The 25,760-nt window shown below is 51.8% G+C and overlaps 1 protein-coding gene across 3 annotated transcripts in view, besides 4 other annotated features; it reads right to left on the bottom strand.

The window, feature by feature from the left end:
- Positions 1 to 9,461: 9,461 nt before the first annotated feature.
- The window catches only part of KCNK5 (potassium two pore domain channel subfamily K member 5), a 40,505-nt gene continuing 24,206 nt past the window's right edge, over positions 9,462 to 25,760 (bottom strand). Inside the window, exons 2-5 of one of the 3 annotated variants that reach the window (XM_005249456.2) lie at positions 16,367 to 16,478; positions 15,094 to 15,251; positions 14,660 to 14,828; positions 9,462 to 12,246 (exon numbers count right to left, since the gene is read on the bottom strand). In XM_005249456.2, coding sequence (XP_005249513.1) covers positions 11,381 to 12,246; positions 14,660 to 14,828; positions 15,094 to 15,251; positions 16,367 to 16,478 — 1,305 coding nt within the window. In that variant the 3' untranslated portion in view covers positions 9,462 to 11,380. Of the gene's footprint in view, positions 12,247 to 14,659; positions 14,829 to 15,084; positions 15,252 to 16,366; positions 16,479 to 25,760 lie in introns of those variants that run through there. The other 2 variants (NM_003740.4, XM_006715235.2) reach the window with 2 other exon arrangements.
- Positions 23,523 to 24,722: an enhancer, noted in NCBI's record as "P300/CBP strongly-dependent group 1 enhancer chr6:39170808-39172007 (GRCh37/hg19 assembly coordinates)". NCBI's record gives its function as "activates an origin of replication core promoter dependent on BRD2, BRD4, P300/CBP, MED14 and CDK7 cofactors, with strong dependence on P300/CBP, by STARR-seq in HCT116 cells {active_cell/tissue: HCT116}" and the evidence as "EXISTENCE:reporter gene assay evidence [ECO:0000049][PMID:35650434]".
- Positions 23,523 to 25,583: a biological region, named in NCBI's record as "P300/CBP strongly-dependent group 1 enhancer GRCh37_chr6:39170808-39172007".
- Positions 23,664 to 24,623: an enhancer, noted in NCBI's record as "H3K27ac-H3K4me1 hESC enhancer chr6:39170949-39171908 (GRCh37/hg19 assembly coordinates)". NCBI's record gives its function as "activates a minimal SCP1, AML or CMV promoter by ChIP-STARR-seq in naive H9 embryonic stem cells {active_cell/tissue: H9 hESC(naive)}" and the evidence as "EXISTENCE:reporter gene assay evidence [ECO:0000049][PMID:30033119]".
- Positions 24,624 to 25,583: an enhancer, noted in NCBI's record as "H3K27ac-H3K4me1 hESC enhancer chr6:39171909-39172868 (GRCh37/hg19 assembly coordinates)". NCBI's record gives its function as "activates a minimal SCP1, AML or CMV promoter by ChIP-STARR-seq in naive H9 embryonic stem cells {active_cell/tissue: H9 hESC(naive)}" and the evidence as "EXISTENCE:reporter gene assay evidence [ECO:0000049][PMID:30033119]".

Genomic DNA, 25,760 nt, shown 5'->3' on the forward strand with positions numbered 1-25,760 from the left:
GTTCCTCCTTCCTTCAGTGTCTTTTTGGTTTTGAGAAAACTCTTCATTTTGGTCCAACTGGAGCTCCCCAGTACCCCCTCGACTAAGAACAGAATGTTATAGCTGAAGGGAATTCATTCCTTCAAGGAGCATCTATTGAGCACCTCTTGCAGGCTAAGCACCACTTTAGCCATTGAATTATTAGCAAAAATCTAATGATTCACCTTTAATCCAATGGTCCTCAACCCTGGTTGCATATTTGAATCAACTGGGTTTTTTTTTAAGTGTGTCATTTAGACCCCATTCCAGCCAATGAAACCACAATCTTTGCAGGAGTAGGGGTGGGGGTGTGGTTGGGTTTCAGCATTTTATTTTAAAACTCTCTAGATGATTCTGATGTTCTCCCAGGGCTGAGAACCTTTGATCTAGTTGAAATGTGGCCTCCATCATGTTACAGAGGATACTGAGGCCCATAGAGGGGCAATGCCGTCCCCAAAGTCACAAGTCTAGGCCTAGTTCCCCTGCCTTCAAACTCTCAGTGCTGTTTCTGAAGATACTTGGTAAATATTTGTTGAAGGCATCCATGAATGAATGTGGAGTGGGAGGGAGAGAAGATGGTGAGTGTGGTAGATATATTTGAGATGCTTTCCCTACCCACAATCCCTGCTGAAGACGGGCCAGCCTAGGTGGCTGTCTTTGAACTATGTGACCCACCTTGGCAAAGCTAACTAGGAGAGGAAACCTGAAACAAGATAGACCAATGAGAGGGCCTGGGAAGGTATTTGAAATGAGGTGCCATCGCTCTCACCCTTGAGGTACGTTAGAATCCCCATTTTTCCAATGAAGAAATAGAGGCTCGGGTAGGTGAAGTGACTTGCCTGAGTCATGCAGCTAGGAAAGGGCCAAGCCTGGAATTTGAGGCAGTTCCAAGAACAACCCCTCCCCTCCCCTCTCACCGGGAAGATGGGACAGACACCCATAAAACATCTAGAGAACAAGTTAGCAGCCGCAAATGTGAAGTTACCTGCCAGGCAGAGAAGAGCAGACAAGAAAATCTGGGAGGGCGAGGACTACCAAGTGAATCTTTCTAGACGGTTAGTGTAGAATCAGGCCACCCAGTAGAGGAGACACTTGAAGAAAAGACTTCTTATGCATATCTTGGGGTGCCTCTCCTGGACAGTAGGTCAGGGTCTCTGGGGCTGAGAGTTGGGGATGATACAGTGAGGACACTTTCCACAGTGACCACTTTCACGAGCTCAAGGAAAGAAGAGAGTGTGTGATCAGGATACAGCAGGAAATCTCAAGGAAACCTAGGAGAGGGCCCAGCATCCCCTTGAAAGTCCTGGCACTGAAAGGTGTCTCCCCTGTGGCCTCCAATCCATCGCCAAGTTTGTGCCCAGACTGTGGGCTGCTCCCTGCCAGGAACGGAGTGCAGCAGGAATAGCAAGGCAGGTCAATTCCCAGGAGACATGTCTGAGACGCCTTTGGCTCTAGGACTCCCCAGCAGCCTTGCCTAACTTTCCTTAGCCTGCGTGGCAGTCTAGACTGCTTCCACCTAAGCTTCAACCTTCATAGGCACTGGGATAGAACTTGCATGGTGGTCAGACAGCGTTCCCAGCCTCTCATAGGTGTTTCCCTCAATGCAGTCCTCTCTGGTTTAATCCAGTCATGGCATCTGCTTCTTGGAGAACCTGAACTAGTAACGCACTGCAGTTCTGTGTGGGTCATTAAGGATCCCTGATTCCAACCCTTCACAATGCCTTCCTCCACCTCCTACCACAAACACAGACACAGACACACACACACACACACACACACACACACACACACACACACATGAGTATGAGAGTGGAAGAGAACAAAAGAAAGAGGAACCTTTTCCCGGGGTCCCCTTGTACAGTGCCAGGCACAGAGCCTGTCAAAAAGTAAGTGCTCAATTAAGAGCCATAATTGTTAGAGGGAGAGCACCACATGTGGCTCAAATGCCCGGAGCAGGCCTGATGGTCTGCAGGATGATGCCTGCCCTGATGGGACGGGGCTGTACTACGACTGGCTTGTGGGGTGAGACCGAGGGGCCCTGGACCTCTGTAGTAGCCACTTCTGACTGGGGCCATGGACATCCTGTGTGGAGTCATCCCTTCCTCTTCACTCGAGGGCAGGGAATTTCTAGAAGACCTTAGATTCCCTTCTGTGTTCCCTCCTTGCCTCAGTCACAGTATCCTATGTGTCAGGCTGTGTGTTTCTGCTCAGTGATATGATCTTTGCAAAGCCTTAGTCTGAATCTGACACACTCAATAGCTTTCATCCAGTTGCCAGGACCTAGTCTTTGCTGAGAGGGTCTCCCCTTTAACTATAAAGAGACCCAGGACATAGAGACTTGTCTGAAGCTGCAGTGCAGTTCAGCAGAGGGCAAGACAGCTCCTGGACTAGGCCCTCGGCAGTCTCAGAACTCCAGCTGAAGGCAGAAGTCCCTTTAAGCCTCCAGTTTGGACCATGACCCAAGAGCTTCTATGTACATTTAGGGGGCAAGTACACATAGACTGCTCACTCATCACCCCTGCAGTTAGCTCCTATGGGCCTTGAATCTTCATCCCTAATCAGCAATGGTCTGAGGCGCTCGAGGGAGTGCAAGTGACAACTTCACGAATTACATTCTCCCTGAAATCCAGAGACTGCTTCTTCCTTTCCAGGATGGACAAAACCTCACTCTCCCCTGCCCTTCCCAGCCTGCAAATCATTCCAGAGGTCAGTGCAGTGATGTGCTGATGAATGTTTAACATCTGGTTCTCTGGAGAGCAGAGATCCCTAATTGGTAGTGTTTGCCCATTTCCACGGTGTAAATGCTTGTCCTATGGGCAATTTTTAGCTACCAATATGGTGTCACAAAACGTCAAGTTGGAAAGAGAAACACAATAGCATATCTACAGGTATTTGCATATACCTGTAGAAGATGAAAAATCACCTCAAAAGCATGAATAATAGTAAGATGCAAAATAGCTAGGAAGTGATGAATTTTACATACTTATGACCTTTGTTCTTAATACCATCTAATTGCATATTTATATAATTTAATTTTTTAATTTTTTTTAGTAGTGGCTGTGGTTTAACAACCAGCTTGCAAAATTTCCAAAAAGTTAACCACCAGCTCCCGTGAGCTGGTATAAAAGGGCTCCAGGCCACTGGGTCAGAAAATTTCCCCTGGAGTGAACTGTTGAGGGTGGGAATCTGAGCTGATAGAAAGAGGCAGGTGTCTGGCTGCTCCAGGCCTGACTGCCAGGTAGCTGTTCATTTGCCCTCAGTCACCAGCATCAGGTGTTCTAGGCAACCTTCGAGAGACTCAACAAATACAGGTCATCTGAGTTAAATAATGTGTGATGTCAACACCTAAAACGCAGCAGCTCAGCTGGCCAGAGCTGCAGGTGAAGGAATCAAAGAAGGAGGAGGAAATTTTACATTATTGATGTCAACACAGATTTCAATGCAGAATGAAAACAGGTGGGGATGGATTGGCAGGGATGTGGGAAGCTTGGAGAGACCTGACCTTTGTTTGAGATCTCCAGCCAGGTGTTCCCAGAACCTGGGTATTTCTGGGCTTTACCCCAGAGCTTCTGAATCAGAATCTTCCCAAGGTGGAGCCCAGGAATCCCCTGATGATTCTTGGGTAGTCCCTGCAGGGTTGGTTGGTCCACCTCACTGGTCTTGGAGATGAGGAGGGCAGACTCTGGGGAGTGGCTGGAGCTGCAGCCAGGACACCCTCTCTGTACACTCTTGTCCTTGAGCAGGAGAGTTTTGCCCTGGCCGGCTTACACTGTAGTTAATAGCACAGGCCCTGGATCCTTAAGTTAGAACCCAGACTCCACCTCTAGCTGTTGTATAATCACTGTGAGCCTCAGCTTCCAAACTGGGTAATAACACTGTTGTGGGATTACGTGAGATCATATGCATAAAGTATCCTGGGCAGTGCCTATAAGCATCCTGTCAATGATGGATATGGCCATTAAGGTCGTGCAGCTGGATAGTAGCAGAACCCAGGCTCTTTAAACATAGCAGGGAGAACTAGAGACCCTAAAGTAGAATGGGCTTTGATATCTGGAAGGTACGAACTTTGATGTTGCATAAGGAAAAGAGCCCCGGGTGAAGAGTTAGAAGACCCAGTGACAGTTGGTCTCAGCTCTGCCAATTATTGTGTTCGAGGGCAAAGAGTTTTAGCCTCCAGGTAGGAGATACTATTTGTGCCAGGTGGCCCAATCCCTCAGCCCACTTGGCATTTCACCGCTGCTGTAGTGCCACCTCAGGGTGCCCAGGTGTCTCTCTACCTTTCTACCTCCAAGCTTTCTCCAAAGCCCGGCAAAGGTCACATAGCTCAGGGCAAGCCCAGCCAGTGTTCCAATTATCTATTGCTGTGTAACAAACCACTCCCAGGCTTTCAGGATTATGAAAACAATCATTTATTTTGCTCATGATTCTGCAATCTGCGGGCTGGCTGGGCTCCACTCTGTATGGCATCAGCTGGGCCTGCAGTGTTCAAGATGGAATCTCAGTGGGGCCAATTCTCTCTCCATGTGCCATCTCCATGGGCGAGTTTGGGCTTCTTCACAGTGTGGGTCTCAAGGTACTTGGATTTCTTACATTGCAGCTGGCTTCCGCCAGAGCACCAAAGTGGAAGCTGCCAGGCCTTAACATGTGGGTTCGGCCAGGTGCAGTGGCTCACACCTGTAATCCCAATACTTTGGGAGGCCAAGGTGGGTGGATCATGAGGTCATGAGGTCAGGAGATCAAGAGCATCCTGGCTAACATGGTGAAACCCCGTCTCTACTAAAAATACAAAAATTAGCTGGGCATGGTGGTGGGTGCCTGTAGTCCCAGCTACTCGGGAGGCTGAGGCAGAATGGTGTGAACCCGGGAGGCGGAGCTTGCAGTGAGCCGAGATCGTGCCATTGCACAACAGCCTGGGCACTCCAGCCTGGGCAAAAAACAAACAAAAAAACAAAACACACACACACACCCACACACACACACACGGGTTCAGAAATCACAGGAATCACTGCCATATTCCATTGACTAAAACAGTCCTGGGGGCAGCCCACATTCAAAGGGAATAGACTCTGCTTCCTGTTGGGGAGTGGCCAGTTCATTTTGCAGATGAGAATGTGAGTGGGGAGATATTGTCGCAGTCATCTTTTGATAATACCGCCTGTTGCATCCACATGTATGAAAGGAGGGTGGGGATGAATTTCCCTGGGGCCATCCTTAACCAACAAGGGTGGAATTGGTGGATAAATGGTCCCTGTCCTTCAGATGGACAAATCTGAGGTGTATTCTACAGGTTTTTCAGGGGAGGTCTAGTGGGATTAAGCCCCAGTTGCCCACAGTTGAAACAGCTCTAAAATGAACATGTATGACCTTTTCCTCTTTCCCCATGTTTACCTCTACATCCCTTTCTGCTACTTCTTCTGACCATCTCCCAGTTCTAGCCTTAGGCCTTGTTTTCCTGGAAAATCAAACCAAAACATTTATTACCTCATTTGGAAAAGGCCCTTAAATTGAGGCCTGTAAAATATTGCACCTGGCTCCCTGCTGTTGCGTAATCCCACCCAGGAATGGGTGTGAAAGGGCTTTATGAACTGAGAGGCTGGGCCCGGTGTGCAGGGTTGCTGGGAGCAGAGGTAATCCTGAGGGAACCGTGGGGACTGGGGAGCTGCTGGGTTGGGAGGCCCAGCTCCCGGAATCACCTGGGAACAGTAAGAGGTGAAGATGGGGAGATGGGGCAAGTGGAAAAGGGGGTGCCAATGACAGTGCTCCCTGGGGTGGGGAGAAATAAGGTGTGCTTTATTCCAGTACTGCCCTGCAGATTCAAGTGACTTGGCACAAGATAAGGTGACTCACCAGGCCAACTCAGCCTGCCACAAGGGCCCTCAAGATCATCCACCTGGCCTTGTGGGGACTCGCCCTTCTGGAACAAGCCTTGCCCCCTGATTTGGCCTCTGCCCCAGGAAGAGAGGGACTGAATTACCAGTAGGAGGGGCCAGGCCTCTAGTTCATTTACCCTCCATTTAGTAAACATGGAAAAGCTGGGCCCCTCTCCACACTGGGCTCCCAGGAATCTGAAGGTGGACAAGCTACTCCCTGTGCCCTTTAGCGGCTCCCAGTCAGGGGAGGAGGCATAAGACCAGGAGGCAGGGAGCTGGAACAACATCAGAACAGCTCGGTGGGAGAGAGGCAGCTTACTGAGGAAGGGGCTCTGGAACACAGAGGAGGAGCACCTGGCCCAGAATCCGGGAGGGCTACAGGTAATTGTGGAAGTCTTCCCAGAGAAGGTGATATCCATATCTAATCCCACTAGGTCTCAGGACTTACCCAGGAGAGAGAGAGGAAGGGCATCAGGGCAGAGGAAACAGCAACGGCAAAGTGGCTGGAGCCCAGAGAGGTGGGAAAGGAGAGGAGGCTGAAGAGAGAGGTGGGGCGGGGGGGAGGGGGTGGAAGAGCAATGGGGAGCCCCTGAGGAGTTTAAAACAGAAAAGAAATGGGTCAGGTTTGAGTTTAGGTTGCTGGCTACAGTAATGGCCAGGTAGAAAGGGAGTCAGTATTAGAGGCAGGGAGACCAGCAGATGGGGCTCATTCATTCATTCAACAAATATCTGTGGACCCCCTACCAGGTGCCAGGCCCTACGCTGTTGTGGGAGATCCAGGTGAGGGGCCAGGTGGCCTGGACCCTGGTGATGGGGCCATGATGGATAGACGGGACAGAGATCTTAGGGAGGGGTTTTCACTGTGAAATACATCCTGACAATTCACGAGTTGTCATTGGTTCCTGGACCAGTTGTGCATGAATTTGGAAACCGGGAACCTGTTATTTCAAGAATGGAGAGATGAATGGCAGAGCTGAGACCAAACCTCAGGGGCCTCATTTCTGGAGGCCCCACCCAGAGCTGTGCAGCCCAGCTTGCCTGTCCCTCCCCACCACTCTACCCCAGACTTATGAGAGCTTCAGATGCAATGGTGGCTGCTGATTACCTTGCCTGGCTCTTTCCAGTCAGGAGGTGAAACCCAAACATCCTGGTTTCTCTTCATCACCTCTGGCAGGGAGCTAAATGTCTCCTCCAGGATCATGCAGGAGATAAGAAGCCCAGCTGGGACCCTGAGGGTCTTTCTGTGCTCTCCTCCTTGTCAGATTAGACTCCTTGAAGGGAGACGCTGTCTCTCACCTCCATCAGACTCTGGGTTCTCTGAAGATGTCTCCCCTGTCAGATCAGAAACTTAGAGGGTAGAATGAGGAATGAGAATGCAAGTCAGGGAAGCTGCTTTGCTGCCAGTTAATAGTTGTTTCAGCTTGGAAAAAATCCTATATTTGCCTCAATTTCCTCATTGTAAAATGAGGATAATGATACATAGGTGCTCAGTAAACATTAGTGGAACAAATAATGGAGAGCCCAGGTGGTGCTGGTGGAGAGCAGGTGCTGGTTTACTAGGACAGCGGAGAAGCCTGCTGGGAATGGAGCCCTGGGGCCTATGAAAGGAGGAGTGCTGCCTCCACGAGGACCCCAGCAAGTCGCCAGATCTCACCAATCCAATTATCTCTGCCTTGCATTAGAAATACAGCAATGACGGCCGGGCACGGTGGCTCACGCCTGTAATCCCAGCACTTTGGGAGGCCGAGGTGGGCGGATCACCTGAGGTCAGGTGTTCAAGACTAGCCTGGCTAACATAGTGAAACCCTGTCTCTATTGAAAAATACAAAATTTAGCTGGGCGTGGTGGCTCACACTTGTAGTCCCAGCTACTCGGGAGCTAAGGCAGGAGAATCACTTGAACCGGGAGGTGGAGGTTGCAGTGAGCTGAGATCATGCCACTGCACTCCAGCCTGGGGAAGAGTGAAACTCGGTCTCAAAAAACAACAACAAAACATCAATGACTTCAACAGAAGGATTTCCCTGCTAGTGTTATCTCCAGTGACTTCCCACCCATCTGCCACTCCTCCGCCACTCGCCAGCCTCCTCCACCGGCCCCACTCCCATCCACCCTATAGCTCCCCGGACTGTGATGGAATGTTCCCCATGCCTCCACATGGTACCCCTCCCCTGCTCATGACCCCTGGGGAACTTGAGGCCTCCTGGGCCCCACCCTTTGCTCTAGCTGCTGCCCTACCTCCCATCTCTTACTCAGAAAGCTCCAGACTAACCCTGGCCACAGTGACCCAAGGCCACACCTCCACCCAATCTTGGGTCTGTGCTTTATCATCTGTGAACACAGTTCTGCAAAACTGTGCCTCAGTCCAGCTGGGTGCCCTTAGGAAGTCATGCTCCCCAAGCTCTCGTCTCAACTGTAGATGGGCCAAATAACCTGGGCTATGTTTGTCAATGGGGTTTGTGAACAGGCCAAGTGCTGAATAAAGGTGGGGCTTACAGTGTTATGGAACTGTTATTGCCTTGAGGCTGAATGTGATTAAAGCAAAACCGGAGAACCTTGGACCTGTGTGTGATGGCAGGAGAGGGGTCGGGGGGAGCAGAAAGAGGGCAAGAGGGAGTGATGTTGGCAGAGGGAGGGATGGTGTCGTTGCAGAATTGGCTGGTAAATACATATAATCCTTTGTAAACACATCCATGCCCTCATGAAAAATGTGGTTCACTCCGGAAATCATACTTTTTTTTTTTTTTCCAATGAACTCAGAAATCATCCTTTCTGGTGCTGAGCCCTGAAATGGTCATAGAAGGGGCCAGTCCCCAAACAGCTGAAGCCTGACAAAGCCTCCCTTTAGACAGATGGAGACAGATGCCCGGCTGAGCCTGGCTCCATTCTTCCTTCACATTCTTTCCAGTCCACAGTGCCCACGCTCAGGCTCTACATTTCCTGCCCACCCCTTGAGTTGAGAAGGCTTGAGCTTCGCTCAAGTTCTCTGGTCCACCTACCTGGAGACAGGAGCCCTTTCCAGAGATGTTGGGTGTGCCACAAAACCACAGGTAGTCTTTTTCATCTCATCACAGTGGTAGAGGGGACAGGAGCTGGGCTGCCTGGGTTTGAATCTAGTCTCACCATTTTTACTGAGATTTTGCACAAGGCAACTTCTCTGTGCCTGTTTCCTCGTCTATAAAATGGAGATGTACTGATGCCCTCTCAGGGTTCTTGCCAGGTCAAATGAGTCCACTCACGTATTATTCAGTGCAAGCATTTAGTGCCTGACAAAGTGGTGAGTGACATGCGTTTGCCATGATCACCCCGCCTCTCCCCTTGCTCCTCCCACTCCTTCCTGATTCTCAAACCTCTACTGCAATGTTCCTCCCGCGTCCTTACCTCCCCACAGAGGCCTGCCTCTCCCCGCTCTCTTCATCTCTTTTCATTCTTTTCTCCCCTCCAGACCATCCAATCCTCTTATCAGTCTGTCCTGAGTCCTCTCTATCTTCTGTGGATGCGCCCAGGCTCCCCTGCTGCTCAGAGGCCAGAAGCCAACCCCTCTCTAACCTGACCCACACACAGCACACACCAAGCTGGCCTGTCCACCTCATGTTTTATTGTAAAAATGTTAAAATAAATTACATTTGACATCGTTGCCAGTATGTACATACAGTGTGCGCGATGCCAGGACAACCAGCAACAACATGGTTCATTAAAACATTTCACAGAAAAATACGAGGCTGCTCCTTTTCAGGCCCCTGCTGGGTGGCGGCCTCTGCAAACGGCTAGAGAAGTGGGGGTGTGGGCACGTGCCCATCACTGTCTTCACATGTTGGGGAGGTGGGCTCTGGCCCCACTGCCCCACAGTAGTGGGGCAGAAGGCAGAGAGTGAACGGAGCTGAGCGGCTCTGATGACTTGCTTCCTGCCCGGCCTCCAGTCACCCGCAGTGGATGCCCCTTCCTGCTTTTGCTCACCTCAGTGTCCCCTTCTCCACCTCTGCTTGGGGACATGGCCCTTGACATCATGGCCTTGGATGAGGTCACCGAAAAAGGCCCAATTGAGTTGCAGGGCAGGAGGGCAGACACTAGATCTCCCAATCCTTGGGACCCTGCTCTTTAACCACTGGCTCTGAAGCCAACAACAGATTCCAGGTATATAAAAACAGCAGTTTGTTTAAAAAATAAAACAAAAAATAACAAAAACATTCAGGACACAGTGGGCCAGCCCCAGGGTGAACATCATGGAGAACCCAAGAACTCTAGTAGCAGCAAGTTCTGCCCACCCCTCACCAGAGAGTCCACCAACAGTTTCACATTATCTTTTGCTCCCCAGCCCAAATCCTTTCCTTTCTTAAACACACACGAGTGCACAGGTGTGCGTGTGCACACACGCACTGTGCACACACACGTGCACATCAAACACTAGCTAGAGAAAGGAGCTTGATTCACATATCTGACCATCACCCATTTGTGGGCCAAGAGCAATTTGGCCTCACCCTGCCTGGCCCAAGGGGGCTGGTGGGAGGGGAAGGCGGGCAGTGAGGTCCTTGTTCAGGGCACAGGGAAGGAGAAGACAGCAGGATTGGGAGTGCAGGTCCTGGGGCCAGCGGGCAGGGTGTGCAGTTCTCAGGCGGGCAGGAGGGGTAAGGGCAGAACCAGCCAGAGCTGAGCCTCACTCTTGCAGCTCCCTGGCCACCAGCCCTAGCAGTCCCGGCTTCCAGTAACCCATGCTCTGCTACTCTCCCTCCTACCACTTGGGGGCCCACAGAAAGCCTTGCGTCTGCCACTGCTTGACCTGAGACAGGGAACACAGCTCTGGGCTGGGCCTGAGTAGACCAACAAGGAGGATGAGGACCCCAGGCCCCAGGCCCACATAGGACTTGTTTCCAGGCCCTGTGAGTCAGGACTGTTTGAGACCCTGCCCTCATCTCCTCACTCCCACCTCCAGCAGCCTCCACCCCACTACGGTTTGTAGTAGGTGCCCGACCTGACCGGCAGGCCCACAGCTGGGATGCGGGCGGGCCCTGCTCCTGCTGTGGTACGGAAACACCTGACCCCACGCACAGCGGTACCTCCCCAGACACTTCAGAGCTCCCTCTCCAAATGCCGAGCTCAGTAATACCGGTAAACTTAAACAGCTGAGGCCCCAGACCTCAGAGAACCGTGTGATACTCCACCAAATGGTGAGACAAAGACCCTGCAGGCAAGGCCTCCTCAGGGTCAGTCCTGCCCACCTGTCCCGCCAGCCAGCATGTCTTTGCATTGTGAGATACACCAGCCAAGCTCAGGACAGATGCCCCCACAGCCAGGGTATGGTTCAGCTGGAGAACAGAGGCCCTGTCCCGGGCATACATCTAGCTGAGGATGATGGAAGGTTAGGAAGGCCCCTGGCCCCCCACTCCCAGTTCCGAGGCTGCCCCCCCACCAGGGGCCAGGCGTCCCGGTCATCTCGGGACACCCTAGGGTGAGGGGGGAAGAGGCCATCAAAGGTGGGGTGGGGAGCCGGCCCTGCCTCATGTGCCCTTGGGGCTGTTAGCCTTGTTGTACTCATTCATCAGCTGTTCGTAAGGCACAGAGAGCTCAGACTCAGTGCTGGTGAAGGTGGACTCGGAGGAGGAGGGGAACTCGCCCATGTTCAGGGGCGCCTTGGCTTCAGCCCCCTGCTGGGGGCTCTCCTCCCCTGCCAAGTTGTCCTCTAGCGAGGACTTGGAGGTCTCCTCGTCTGAGAGGCCAGCCTCCGTGTTCACGAAGGTGATGCTGGCGTCCTGGAAGATGAGTGGGTGGTAGTCCTGGGCGTCCCATGGCTCGCATTCCTCGCTGATGCGGTCCAGCTGGTTCATGAACACCTCGGGGGCAGGGGAGCTGTCTTCAGGGGCCCGTGCCACAGCCTCCTCATCTGGGGACCTTGATACGTGGCCTTTGCTCCTCAGTGTCTGTGACACCTCTTCCAAGGTGGGCACCCGGTTCTTGGAGTAGACTACCAGGGGCACCAGGGAAGGGGGCAGTGCTGGGAGCCCACCGCCTTGAGGCCCCAGCCCTGGGCCCGGGCCCGTCTCCCCACCCCCGCTTGTCTTCATGGCCTTCTTCCCGATCTGCTTGATGAGGTCGTTGTAGGTCTCTTCCTTCTTGGAAAGAAAGCTGAAGATGTTGACGTCCTTGGAGGCTGTGCTCCCCTTCACCTGCAGGGCCTTCCGGGAGTGTGGGGAGCTCTCAAAGGACTCCTTCCGTCGCCGCCGCCGCTTCTTAATGGCTTTGTGGACTTCCACAAACATGCTCACCTTCCAGTTGACAAAAAGGGACAGCCAGGCCAGCCCCAAGTAGATCCAGAGCTCCACGAAGTAGCGGTACAGGGCGTGGTAGTTGGCGCTGGGGTTCACACCTGAGCGGACAGGCAGTCCAGAGGTCAGGAAGAGTTAGCAGGGCCCGGGAAATGTGCAATGGCCAATGCTGTGTGATCTGAGCAGGGGTCAGGCCAGAGCACAGGACGGGGGTGCAGTGGGATAGAAAGGGGCCTGTTCTAGACCCTGGACTATCCCATCTTCCTCAAGGGCTTGGGCCTGCCATCATTCATGACCCCATCCCAGTCTCCAGCCTGTCTCTGAGTCTCGGTTTCCTCAACTAGAAACGTCAAGACAGGCCAGGCATGGTGGCTCACGTCTGCAATCCCAGCACTTTGGGAGGTCAAGGCAGGTGGATCACTTGAGGTCAGGAGTTCGAAACCAGTCTGACCAACATGGTAAAACCCCAGCTCCACTAACAATACAAAAATTAGCCAGGTATGGTGGCGGGCCAGCTACTCAGGAGGCTGAAGCAGGAGAACTGCTTGAACCCGGGAGGCAGAGGTTGCAGTGAGCCAAGATCACACCACTGCCACTCTAGCCTGGGCAGCAGACAGAGACTCCGTCTCAAAAAAAAAAAAAAAAAAAAAAAAAGTCAAGACAGTGACTCTTTGAAGGAAGCTAAAGGGGCTTTGGGGGACTGGCAATGTAACCGACACACAGGTCAAGAAACAGTTCATGAGTATTTGCCTTTCTGTTAATTCTTCTACCATCCCCAGCTGTTCTGCGTATATGATACAGTTCACTTAAAAACGGAATGGATGGATATTACACAAGGGAGCCCCCAGCACCCTCCAAGCTGGGGCTAGACTCACACTGGTGGATTACAAACAAGGCTGGTGGTTAGGTTGAGATGACCCAGGAAGCACCCACCGTGGCAAGAAACGCTGAACCATTTTTATTTTCATTGAAGGTCTGGTCTGCCTCCCTGACTTCCTCAGATCAGCTCTCCCTTGACCTGGAGGAGGGCTCTGTCTGCTCCACATCCCCCTCCTGCTGCAGGGAGCCTTCTTGGCTTACCCCCTACAGCTCTGAAGGTTCCCCCTACACTCCAGGATTATTTGAAATGTCGTTGACGACTACATGTACAGGCATGTTGACCTGTATTCCATTTGCCCCCTCGACTAGATACAAGAGCAACTTACAGAAGGGACCTGGAGGAAGGGGGCTACCTCTCTCATCAGACTAGAGGTTCCTCCAGGTGCTGTAGCCCGGTCAGTTCTCCTCCCACGACCGGGCTCAGATAGCAGGTGCCCTGAGTGGTCCTGTTAATCCTGCTCAAGGCTCTCAATCACAAGCAGAGTTTCATGATGACAGTAATGAGGGCACACACTGATATAGCCAGGCCCTACCCTTAACACTCATGAATAGTAATTATTATTTTTACTAATTTTACAGAAGAGAAAGCTGAGGCAGGGTTTGGTGTCTTGCTGGTGCTGAGAAAGTATGGCTAAGTGTACATCTGTATTTCCCTAATACCAGAGGCACCTCCTTAGCCTGCTCTGGGCCTCAAGGGCTGGACAATGGCAGGGTTGTGCCTTGTCCACATGTACTGCCCAGGACAGCAGGCCCGGACTTGGCAGGGTCAGGGGAGTGTTTGTGCCTCTCTTTCCTGTTCCTCCCCCAACTCAGCCAACTGCTCCCAGATGCCACATACATCAAGCACAAGGCTAGTGGCCTCCCACTGCCCTCTGGGCAAAAGGGAGGGGGTACAGAACAGAGGCCTCTGGAGCAGAAGTTGAGGTCACTGGGGTGGTGGGTCAACAGGGTCAAACAGGGTGTCAAGAAGATTAAGAACCAAGATGCTGTGCAGGCCACAAACACAAGTACATGTGTGGCTGGGGCCAGCTGGTAACAGGCCTTCAGACAAAGGGGCCAAAGAACCTCATCACTTCCCTGGATTAAGCAGGGGAGGAGTAGGAGGGAGTGTCAGGGCTGGGGGCAGGGCAGCTGGGGAGAAGGCCTCCCTTGTCTTTAAGCTGCTACAGCAGGAACAAAGCCCCAGGCCTCTGAGCCATGCCTTCAGGACACCTCCCTCCACTCTTGTGAAAGATGAAAGGCTGCTGAGGGCGTGGAGTGGGTGCTGGTGGGCTCAGGGGCTCCCTGGGTAGCAGGTACCAACCGTGCAGGCAGAAGGCCCTACTTGCAAGTCCCCCATGAAGCCAAGCTCAGGAGTCATGGGAGAACTGAGGGAGAGGAGATCAGAGACTGAGCAGAGAGGAAAGGAGGAGGAAAAAGGCCATGTCTGAGAAAGGGAACCAGAGAGAAAAGAGTTTTTTGTCATTACTCTGGGTCTTAGTTTCCTCTTGCAAATGGCAGAGTGGGTTGAGAATCCCACTGGGTAAGAGAAGTGCCCAGAACATGGAACCCTACCTAGGGCACCCCCAACATAGGTCTGTTGCACTGAAACCAAAGAAGCAGAAAAAGAGGTGGGAGGCAGAGGCAGGGACTCACCGGCCACAAAGTCACCGAAGCCGATGGTGGAGATGGTGATGAAGGAGTAGTAGAGGCCCTCGATGTAGTTCCACCCCTCAGTCACCATGAATACGAAGGGTGGGATCACCAGGTGGACTAGGACGCCCCACACGATGAAGATGACTGTGCACGTGATCTGCGCCTTCCGCTGATGGGGAGCAGGAGGCCAAGTCAGAGAATAGTGGAGACTTGGAAACCCAGCAAAGGCACCCAGAGGGCCAGGGAGGCAGCTAGAGGAGAAGCTAGCTGGGTACCCAGCCTGACCCGGGAGGGCAAGGAGCTCTGAAACTATCCTCTTGCCATCTGTCCTTACACCCTTGGTCCAATTCCTAGAGGCCTCCTGTCCTCCCCTCACCTGTCATGGTTCCCCCATCTCTGCCCAACACCCAGGGTAGGGGACATACCAGACTCACACCTCTCTTGGTAAGGAACTGCCCTAGTCTCTTGGCACGTCCCCCGAAGAACTTGCCCAGGGCACTGATCCACGTCAGGCAGAGCGGCACCCCGAAGAGACCATAGAAAACACAGAAGAGGCGACCGGCGGGGGTCTTGGGAGCCACATTGCCATATCCTGAGGAAGGAGAGAGTGAGGCCAAGAACAGGAGGGGTGGTCAAACCAGTGGGCCTTGCTTCCAACACACACACAGCCCGTTCTCTAAGATAAATTGATATTGATCTATTGTCAGTACTTAAGTAATGATATTTCCCTTGATCATACTCTGATCATGATCATTGATAAAGCAATTATGATGACATGAGCTGTATCTCCTCCATCATACAAGGAGCTCCCTGAAGGCAGGGACTAAGCCTGGTCAACAGGTCTTCCACTAGTCTATATGGTACCACTGTGCAAGTTATAAGACATGCTCTCTGTGTAGATTCCCCAGAAGCACTGTGGTAGATGGTCTCCAAAGATAGCCATCCTCCATTCCCTCCCTTCTTATGCAACTGCTCACATCAAGGTGTCATCTAATCCTCTTCCCTTGGAATCTGGGCTTTAGTGGCTTGACAACAGAAGCAGTCTAGGCAGCGGAAGAGACGCTGGACAGGTGAGGTCTAAGAAGCCTGCTGCTTTTCGCCTTGGTTCCCAAACACATGCGGAGGCCTTGTGTTTTCATCCCCAGCTGAGCTCCCAGCCAACAGCCAGCATCAACTGTCAAATCTGTGATGGGAGGAGCCATCTGGGCCATCAGATGAGTTTGGCTTTCAGAAGACTCCAGCCCAGCCATTGTTCGACTGCCACTGCATTGGGAGCCCAAGCAAGAACCAGCCAGCTGAGCCCAGTCAAGCTGACAGAATGGTGAAAGAGAAGAAGCTGCGTTCTGAGCCAAACTTCTGGACTGGTTGGCTATGCAGCCTGAGAACTGAAACAGACACCCAGCTTGGTAAGTAGTCATGATCTGGGTTTCTGCAATGAGCAGTCTGGTTAATCTCTTGCATGGCTCTGGCCATGAGGCTGTGTCATTGTTTCTGCTCAAAGAGCCCAGGTCAAGACTCAAGGAAACCTTCCCAGGCATGATCAGCTACCAAGGACTTAACAAATCCCTAAGAAAGTATCAAAAGAATAGCCTGCAACTGATCTGATTGTACCCCCAACAGGGCTGAGTGACCAGAGCTGGGTTTCTAGAAAGGTTCTGAGGAGCTAGGGCATGGATGTGGGTGTCCTACAGGTCCCAGAAGACTTACCAATGGTGGTAATGACGGTCGCTGCAAAAATCATTGCATTGGGCCAGTTCCAGTTGTTGAAGGTCTGGTTCCCTGTGATGGCCACACCCTGTCCTGCAGCATCAGATACCACCTAAAATGAGAAACAGTAAAGGTCAGAGCTGAGGCCACACTTAACAGATGCTGATTGACAGAACTGCACTAAACTCCTTGTAAGCATTTTCATTTAGTCATCACAAGAAGAAGGTGGCAGTGTCTCCATGTTACAGATGAAACATTGTATAGAGGATCAGAGAGGTTACCTGATTTACCCAAGGTAAAGATATGAACCCAGGCAATCTGGCTCCAAAGTTCATTCTTTCACTGAGTCAATGCTTCTCCAACTTACTAGCATGCACCAGGATCACCTGGAAATCTTGTTCAACAGACTGCTGGCCCCTACTACTCCGAGTTTCTGATTTAGGAGGTCTAGAAGGAACATTTCTAAACATGTTCCCAGGTGATGCTGTGGACAGGGACCACACTTTGAGAACCACTGCACTAGATTAATTCTGCCTCTCAAAAAAAGCACATGTGAGGCAGACACACACAAGGAGGTCCCCTGTGCCTCACCCAGCCCTCCATGGAGGGTGTTCTACCTGCAGAGACCAGGTCCTTGTTCAGGGTTGGCTGGGGAGGGGCCCCCCATATACCCTTCAGCCTACTGTAGGATACCTGCTCAGGTCAGCTCAGTGCCCTGTTGACTTGTCCTCGGAGGGCATGCAAATCAGCAGGTCCTCCTTTCCCCCAGCCTAGGACTCTAATGTACCCTCTCCCCTGTGGGATCTCACTTCCCTCCCTTCCCTGTAGCCCTTTCTCTCTCTGCCCTGGGCTGAGCAGCTGTCTGGGAAGGGACAGATCAGAGGGTGAGTACATTTCAGGGTGACTCATAACTGTGCTATCAATCCCCAAAGAGCTTCCAGTAACTGTGGATAGCAGGTGAGAGGCCACCTGGGGATGGGATGTCCCCCTGGAGAGTGCGAGGAGCGGTGGGGCAGAGGTGTGGGGAACTTATCTACTCCTACAATACTGACAGCTGCAAACCTGTTTCCATCTGACTAGGCCCCAATTCTGCTATCACCACTGGCTCCAACCTATCTGTGGGGCTTTATCAGCTGGCAGGGCCTGGACCCCAGAAGTCACATAAGAAGGGACTCTAAATCTGGGGCTCAAGTCCTGTCCCCAAGGAGCGCCTGCAGATGGGTAGGCCATCCAGACCAGAAGCTAGGCATTCAGCCAAATTGCCTATAAAAACCAAGACAAGGACTGAGAGAGAAGAGACAGAAGAGTGAGGGATGGAAACAGAGGGAGACAAAAAAAACCTTGTTTCTAACCTACCCAGAGCATGACTGAGGTTTGGTGGGAAAAAAAGGGCATGGGTGGGTTGTTCTGAAGGAAAGTGTAATTTGCAGAAGCAGCAGCCGGCCTGCGTAAATGGATCTGCACACTCTGCAAAGAATTTTCCATGATGGCACGCTTGTCTGTCAGACCATCAAACCACACAGCTCACTGCGCTGCCTCCTCCGGCATTTCACAGCATCTCCGAGGCTACGAAGGCTGTGCAGCATCAAAGTGGAAAGTGGGGACCATCGCATCAAACTCTGGCCAAGGCAGCCCCTGCCCTCAGAGAGCTCTCTGTCTAGCTGGCCAGACCATTTCAATGTGAAATGGCTAAAGGACATTTAGATACTAACAGGCCAACAGGAGAGCTAAAACAAATACTAAGGACCATCCAATGGGTTTCTGAAAACATCAAATCTGTTTGGAGCAAGAGAATGAGGAAGTACCAGGGCCACGTTAATGTTAAACAGATGGCAGAGAAAGCGGAACCACCCAGCTCTCCTTTGGCATCTACCTTTGCTACCTCAGATATCGATCTTGAATGGGACCGGCCTACAAGAAAAGAGTATATAAGAACATACAAGAACATCTTGAAATGATAATTGAATCACTGATCACAGGTGAGGCTGCAGCACCACCTCTGGTCATCCCCATGGAATCATGGGGAACAGGAAAGATGTCAGAAGACAAGCTGTTCCCATTTTTCACAAAAAGGAAAAGAGTGGATTCTAGAAATTCAGAAAACAAACCTGAACTCTTGCAAACTTCAAAATGGGGAGAGGAGAATGTTTGGAACATGCAGAAGAGGAAGTAGTGGGCACTAGAAACTAGCACAGATTCACCCAGAACAAGTCATGCTCAGCTAAGTGCATCTCCTTTTCAAAGGGTTGCAAAGCCTTGAAGTTCTGTGGAATGTAATCCATCTAGATATCAGCAAGGCAGCTAACAGATGGGATTAAAGAAATTCATGTGGACAAGACACAGAAATGTCAGTGGAGCCAGGATTAATTGGGTCCATTCAAAGGCAGACAAACAACCCTAGGAGGTATTGATCATTATCAACCCAGACTGAGTCTCCACCATCATGCTTAAGGCCTGGTTTTCTTCAATATTTTAAACCACAGCACAGTGAGGACAGAGATGGTTTACTAATCCAATGTGCAGTGGATGCAAAATTGGGGATAAGGATGGGATGGGAAGATAGCTAACACATAGCAATGGCAGTATCAAGATTCAAAATCATCTGGCTGGATATAGGGGCCAAAATCAACAACATACAAGTATCCACTTAAATGTTTAAGTCTTATACTTTGGATTGGAAAAGACTGGTAGAGGATTGAAGGGAAAAGTCCCTGGATATTAGCTGACCATGGATCAACAAACAGTAATCCTACTGTCCTGCTGTCACAAGAAAAGTAAATGCAATCTCAGGCTATGTCAACTCCAGGTCTATCCAGGGCTGGGAGGTAACAAGCCCACTGTTGCTTGCAGGGTCAGGCCATATATGGGGCACCTTGTTTCATTCTGGGTGTCAGACTTCACATGATATGCTAACCAACAGGCCAAAGTCCAAGGGGGAGATGGGGTGGCTGTTTTGGATAATGAGTCTACAAAGGGCTACTCCTTGTAGTAATCAATTTCTGATAATGCAAAGTATTTAGACCAGGGTAGCCAGCATCCATCAAGGGTGTTGTGGAAGGTATGTCTGGAACAGGGGTTCTCCACTGGGGTGGTAGTGCCTTTTGGAAGTGTCTGGAAATGCTTTCTAAGGAGGAATGTTGCATGTACCAGGCACTGTTCTAGGCAGTGAGTATACTGCAGTGAACGGACGGAATCCCTGCCCTCCTCTTATGTTTATTCTAATGGGTGATGGGAGATGCTCTGGCATTGAGAAGGCAAGGGGCTAGAGATGCTAAATGCCCTGCAATTCACAGGACAACCACACCCACAAGGCCAAAAATGCTCCCCCTGGGAAATGCTAGTGCCAAAGGTAACCTGTGATTTGGGAATCATTTAGTAAGTGCTAAGGAGACATCAAACAAAAGAACTGGCAAAACAGGGTAACTGAAGAAGGCATTAAGTTTGGGAGTGGGGAGAGGTGGAAGAGCTGGGCTTTCTACCCTTCACCCCACTGATGGTGTGCCCTTTGGGGACCAGCTGGCAGCCTCAGGCCCTGGCTTATCAGGCAGCCACAGCATTATGTGCTTTCCCCATGACTTCTAGTATCCCTCTGTGGTTGCCCAACAAGGGGCGGGCAAAGGAGGCACTGGAGAGAGCCCCTAACTCCCCGGGGCTGCAAGCACTACTCATTCCTTGCAAAGACCCAGTGGTGGCAATTACACCCACTGGGCGGAGAGAGGTTGGTTACCTGGCAGAACTGGGCTAGGTTGTAGACTGTCTGGTTTCAAGTCTGCAAGTTCAAGCCTCCCTGCCTCCATCTGCCTGGGTCTGCCTGCCCCTGGGCTGCCCCACTGCCCCTTGCGGTTGCCTCCTCTGCTGTGGTTCCCAAGCAGCTGGCCTGGGAATCAGCTCAGCTCCACCCAAGTGCTGGTGGAGAGAAGCTGTGCTAGTGCTGCTGTATGTCAGACACCCCTCGCCGGGGCTTTTACACACGTTACCTAACTGGCTCTTCCTGTCATTCTGCCAGGCATCACTTGGCAGAGGAGGAAAGCCAGGCTCAGGGAGCTGAGGTCTGGATGTGAATTTGGGGTGCTAGCTCCCTATTCCCACTGTGTGTATCTGTGGATACCTCACTGATCATGGCTGGGATTATGCAGGAAGAGGAGGGGGCTTTAATTGGTCTCCCAGAACAGAAAAGCTGACCCAGGACTAAGGCCATCACTGGGTTAGGGGAAGGGACATGGGAGAGCCAGGTAAACACCCTGTCAGACAAGGCGTCCCGTCCTCGGGGTTAGGGAAACAGCTTTCGCGGGAGGAGGCGGCCCCTGTTCACTGGCTGGATTCTTTAACTTGGCTCCCAAATTCACACGAGACAATATTTTCATTTTCCATACAAGCCTGGAGAGTAATGGGAAAAGGGGAGCCTGCACAAAGCTCAGGCCCAGCTCTTGTTTGGGAACGGAGTAGAGTTCCCTGTCTCCATCACCGTCACCATAAAGCAGCTGTGATTTACGGAGGGCTTCCTATGTGCCAAGAGTTGGGTAAAGCATTTTATGTGCCTTTAGCTCATTTAGAGAGGACAGATTCTTGCTGGGAAGATACTATAATTTTTTTCCATTTTGCAACTGAGGATTTGAGGCTTACAGAGGTTAAGAAAGTGCTAAAAACAGTGAAGCCAAGACTAGAACCCAGGCCCATCTGGGTCCTAATTGCTGTTCTCCTATCTCCTGTCCCCATAAAGGCCACAGGAAAGAGGCCTGTGCATACTCCCACCCACTTCCCACCAGCTGAAAAAACAGTGCCCTAAAACCAGTCCAGCCACTCTGACCAGCTCTCATGCTGTTGCTCCAGTGAGGAAACAGCCATGTGTGCCCTTGCCCAGAGCTTCAGATGTCCAGCTGCCCCAACCCCACCTTCCCAGGTGCTCACTGTGCTGACTGAGTAATCTTGACTCCCAGACATCCCCTCATCCCCCAAGGATCTGAGGCTTCCCTTGGCAGTGGTGGGGCATCCCCTTCCTGGAGAGAGGGATCTAGATTGGGGCTTTGGGACATGCCACCCACCTTCAGACATGGGCAGGCAGGGCAAGGTGGGGGCTTCCCCTTTACGGGGTGGGGTAAGGGAAACCAAAGTCAAGATGTTAGCCTGTTGGGATCACAGCTATCTGGCACCCATAGAGCTACTCCCGGCCCTGCCTCCAGCTCCACAGCCGCCATCACTTTAGGATCACAGGACTCTTTCTTGCTCTGCAGGATACAGCCTTAACAGTCTTCCTCCATTCCAGCCTCTGCTAGACTCCTGGATTGTCAGTGGTTCATGGGTTAATGGGTTAATGGGTTAATGGGTTCATGGGCCAACCCTCCTTTACCATTCCCAGCTGCATCAATTCTTTTTTCTTCTTTTTTTTTTTTTTTGCGATGAGAGTCTCACTCTGTTGCCCAGGCTAGAGTACAGTGGCGTGATCTCAGCTCACTGCAACCTCAGCCTCCCGGGTTTAAGCAATTCTCCTGCCTTAGCCTCCCGAGTAGCTGGGATTACAGGCAGGTGCCACCATGCCCAGCTAATTTTGTATTTTTAGTAGAGACGGGGTTTCTCCATGTCGGTCAGGCTGGTCTCAAACTCCTGACCTCCGGTGATCCACCTGCCTCGGGCTCCCAAAGTGCTGGGATTACAGGCATGAGCCACCACTCCCAGCAATCAATTCTTAATTCACTGTGTCAAAGCTCACTTGGCCCTGCGGAGGGATGGTAAAATTGGGCCCTGGAAGGGAAAATAGAGCTGACCCTCTTATGTGCGTGTGCTTGGTAGTACAGAAAGAAACTTATCATTCCTCTCACCTCCCTTCCCAGCAACCTTGTAAGGGGTGTGGGCATGGCTATTCATTCTTATTTCATAAATAATACATTGATATTTAAGCACTTATGAAGACAAGCACCTAAATCCAAGCACTTTACTTATCTCACAAAATGCCAGTACCCTCTAAAGTTTACTGTATTTTAGTTTAAAGTATTACTACCCCCATCTTACAGAAGCATTTGCCCAAGGTCACAGAGCTAGTTAGTTGTGGAGCTGGGATGAGGGCCCAGGTGGCTTCTAACCTCTGCACTATCTAGAGACGGGGGTGAAAGGCATGCAGGTGAGCTTCTAGGTGCAAGTGAAACGGCCTACCAGGCAATATCCACAGACATGCAGAGACTCCCCTAGAGTGCCAGCTTCATGGGGACAGGGCCTTTTGTTTTGTTTTTCACTGATGTATTCCCCAAACTTAGAACACTGCCTAGCACACAGTAGCTATTCAACAAATATTTACTGAATGAGTGAATAAATACATTTAAATAAATAAGGGTATATTCCCTGGCCTCAACTAACTTGTCCTCTAGTGCCCCTCCATCCCCAACCACTTCCAGCATCGTTCTGCAGTTGGCTTTTCACTAAATTCATCAGTTAAACAAGGTGGAAGCCTGAAGAGCAAGAGGGCAGGAAGGAGAGGCACAGACCCCAGCGGCGGCGGGGCTCACAGGGGCTGCTGAAACCACCAGCCTCCAACTGGTCTTGGGTTGCAGAGGTGGGGATCACCAGGTTGAGAGGAGAGGGCAGGGGGCAGGAGCTGGGGAAGGGGCAAGGTGAGGGAGGCAGACAAGAGCCCAGAGGAGAGGGTTCAAGATGGGAGAGTAATCAGCAGTGGAGTGGGAGAGGTCCCTCAGGTGACTGGGACTGTCCTTCCTGCAGGGAGGCCTGTCCCCTTGGGAAACTCCACGAGGGCAGTAAATGTACCGAGAGCAGGCAAAGGAACAGAAGAGTCAATAGAAATTGCACATCTACTTCCAGCTGACCACTTTCCTTACTGAATCCCAAAGCCCCTCCTCTCTGAGGGCACTCAATCAATCCCATTGGCAGCAGGGCCTCTGCAGCTCAGGTTTAGCTCTATCTAGGAAGCCACAGGGCCATCTTCCAAATGCAGACCTGTGCTCATGGAAAAGGTGGAACCAACCTGGATTTGAATCAGAGGGGTCTCTCGATGGCTGGCAGCAAGCCTCTGGGTAAATAACTCAGCCTCTCAGCCTTACTTTCTCTGTCTGTAAAATAACACCTACTCTGCACACATGAAAAGAACCTAGGACTCAGTAAGCACTGGATAAATGTATCTGCAATCAATATTGTGATTCACACGTGTGTCCGTCAGGAACAAGACCCTGCAGAGATCTGAGACCCAGGAGCAAAGCTGCTCACCCCCAAAGCTGAAGCAGATGGGCTGGCATGTCCTGGACAAGCAGTAGAGAAGGACTAGGGATTTCAAGCCCTGTGCCTGGAAGACAGGAAAGGGTGAGAACACTGTCCCTAACCTTCTTCACAACTGCCAACTCTTCCCATTTCCCCATTTTAACAGAGAAAACTGTCGATTTTCAGCCTGATCCATCAGCTCCCTCAGGCCACATGGAGGAAGGGACTGTGGTTCCAGAGATGTTCCCTGGCCACCTGATGGCTGGGAGTCAGGGGCAGAGGGAAACGGGCAAGCCCAAGATGCCTCACCCCATCCCTCAGAGGCCCCATCTCTCCTGGCCTCTGCCCCTCAGAGGCTCACAGCCACCCTGGCCAGTTTCTCGTCCAACCAAGCAAGTTGGGCAGGGCTGCTGAGGGAAAGAAATGCCACCACTGGTCCCATCCTGTCTTCACCACTTCCCCCCCATCACCCCTGGCAGCCGCCAGTACCTCCCCAGGTGAGGCTGAGGCCAGGAGGTGTTAGATGGCAGCTTCTCTGAACTCTAGTCCAACTCCCTCCCAGCCCCCACCCAGCGTGAACATGAAGCAAGACAATGGGCAGTGGCTCTCGGTACAGGCTGCCCAGTAGATCCCCTTGGAGGTTAAATAAATGCTATGCCTGGTCCCCAACTGCAGATATTCTGTTGACCTGGCACAACTTTTAAAAAGCTCCAGAAGTGATTCTAATATGCAGGGGCTGCCCTAGTGGAAGCTGACAGGGGGAGGGAGGCTCAGGCCTTCTCCATCTTCCTGTCTAAAAAGGAGTATGCAGGGCAGAGAGAAGGAATTCTTGGTATTTTCCTCACTGCCTCTCCCCCCGGGTCAGGTGACCAGGGTGTGGCTCGGAGGGCAGCTGTAGTTTACGAGCAAGGTATTGGCAAGGGCCCAGTGGTGCCACCCTGATACCTGCACCAGCAGCCAACCCAGCTCGCCTGAGCTTTGTCTCTCCCAGGGAAGGAGCAGATACTGGACGAAAGGCAGCAGGGCCACACCCGTCTCCTCGAAGACCAGAGCTGGGCTGTTGCAAAGCGGACTTTGTTAACTTGTGGTTGCTTATCTCTTTTCTCAGATTTGCTCTGATATCTATCTGGAGTATGGATCACATTTGAGAAGAAGGCAGGCAGGCCAAATCAATGGCTGGAGGCTTTGGTGTGCTAGGACGTCGGCGCAGGGCCTAAAAACCCAGGCTCAGCTCAGCTCTGCCAGTACTGTCTTGAGATCCTCGAAGAATCTTTGATTGCTTTGCCTGCCTGCTTCTCTGTACAATGAGGAGGTTGGACTATGACTACTGGAGTCCCCCTGCCTGGGCAGGTGATACCTCCCCTACCTCCTCTCCATAGCACATTCAAGAAAATGCATTTCTATCCTCAGGACTTAGCTCATCAGTCACCATACTACTTCTTAACCTGGACTACAAACTGAGATCATCTGAGAGAGCTTGGAAAAATACTCCTGCCCGGGTCCTGCCCCTAGAGATGCCAAGAGAAATAGTCTGGGGCTTGAACTGCGAACCAGGATGCTGCAAAGCTCCCCCAGGTGATTCTAATCTTATGTTCAGCCAAGTTTCAAACGCACTGCCCTAGATCCAATCCATTCTCCCTCATTAGGGACTTGAGCGCAGCCCCACCCCTGACATTAGCACGGGGCAGGCTGTGCATGCACACAGGCAGAACTGTCCTCTTGTCCACCTTTGGGCTTCCCCCAGCCTGCCCTCCTGGGCCATCTCTCAGCAGTCTCTGCAGAGCCCAGAGGCACTGCTAGGTCTCACGCTCAGGAGGGCAAGCCCCTGCCAGATGGGAGCAGGTTTTCAGCAGAAACCCTGGGCTTCTGACTTTCACAGGCCTGGGAGCCCTGTCCTCACTGGGAGGAACAAAGAAAACAAGGCAGGTGACCCTGCCCGCATTGTTCTCAGGCTGGGACGGTAATCCCCCAGGGCAGGGGGGCAGCTGGGCATCCCTCCTGTGAGAACAAGCCCAGGGCAGAGCTGACCTGAGGTTGCAGGTTTGGCTAAGGCAAGCAGTGAAGGGCTGGTGGGGCCCAAGCTCAGGATGGAATGTCAGCGTGAGCTCTCAGGCACCTGGAGGGCTGAGCTGATCAGTGACTGACACTGGAAATCCCTGTGCGGGCAGACACAGGGGACCTCGAGGGCCCCTTC

The sequence above is a fragment of the Homo sapiens genome, chromosome 6, assembly GCF_000001405.40.
Source record: "Homo sapiens chromosome 6, GRCh38.p14 Primary Assembly".
Classification (NCBI taxonomy): domain Eukaryota; kingdom Metazoa; phylum Chordata; class Mammalia; order Primates; family Hominidae; genus Homo; species Homo sapiens.